The following is a 1,049-nucleotide window of genomic DNA, read 5'->3' on the forward strand; positions in this document are numbered from 1 at the left end:
TTCAATTCCCACCTAAGAGTGAGAACATGCAGTGTTTGCTTTTCTGTCCTTGTGATAGTTTACTGAGAATGATGGTTTCCAGCTTCATCCATGTCCCTGCAAAGGACATGAACTCCTCCTTTTTTATGGCTGCATAGTATTCCATGATGTATATGTGCCATATTTTCTTAATCTAGTCTATCATTGATGGACATTTGGGTTGGTTCCAAGTCTTTGCTACTGTGAATAGTGCCACAATAAACATACGTGTGTGTGTGTGTGTCTTTATAGTAGAATGATTTATAATCCTCTGGGTATATACCCAGTAATGGGATGGCTGGGTCAAATGGTATTTCTAGTTCTAGATCCTTGAGGAATCTCCACACTGTCTTCCACAATGGTTGAACTAATTTACACTCCCACCACCAGTGTAAAAGTGTTCCTATTTCTCCACATCCTCTCCAGAATCTGTTGTTTCCTGACTTCTTAATGATCACCATTTTAACTGTCATGAGATGGTATCTCATTGTGGTTTTGATTTGCATTTCCCTGATGACCAGTGATGATGAGCATTTTTTCATGTGTCTGTAGGCTGCATAAATGTCTTCTTTTGAGAAGTGTTGGTTCATATCCTTTGCCATTTTTTATGGGGTTGTTTTTTCTTGTAAATTTGTTTAAGTTCTTTGTAGATTCTGGATATTAGCCCTTTGTCAGATGGGTAGATTGCAAAAATTTTCTCCCATTCTGTAGGTTGCCTGTTCACTCTGATGATAGTTTCTTTTGCAGTGCAGAAGCTCTTTAGTTTAATTAGATTTCATTTACCTATTTTGGCTTTTGTTGCCATTGCTTTTGGTGTTTTAGTCATGAAGTCTTTGCCCATGGTGCCTATGTCCTGAATGGTATTGTCTAGGTTTTCTTCTAGGGTTTTTATGGTTTTAGGTCTTACATTTAAGTCTTTAAGCAATCTTGAGTTAATTTTTGTGTAAGGTGTAAGGAAGGGATCCAGTTTCAGCTTTCTACATATGGCTAGCCAGTTTTCTTTATTAAACAGGGAATCCTTTACCCATTTC

The 1,049-nt window shown here is 37.6% G+C and overlaps 1 annotated feature.

Annotated features, from left to right (window-relative positions):
- Nucleotides 579-723: a silencer, noted in NCBI's record as "fragment chr10:83399505-83399649 (GRCh37/hg19 assembly coordinates)". NCBI's record gives its function as "represses an EF-1alpha promoter that drives an FKBP-Casp9 reporter gene in an ReSE screen in K562 erythroleukemia cells {active_cell/tissue: K562}" and the evidence as "EXISTENCE:reporter gene assay evidence [ECO:0000049][PMID:32094911]".

Source organism: Homo sapiens, chromosome 10 (genome assembly GCF_000001405.40).
Source record: "Homo sapiens chromosome 10, GRCh38.p14 Primary Assembly".
NCBI lineage: Eukaryota > Metazoa > Chordata > Mammalia > Primates > Hominidae > Homo > Homo sapiens.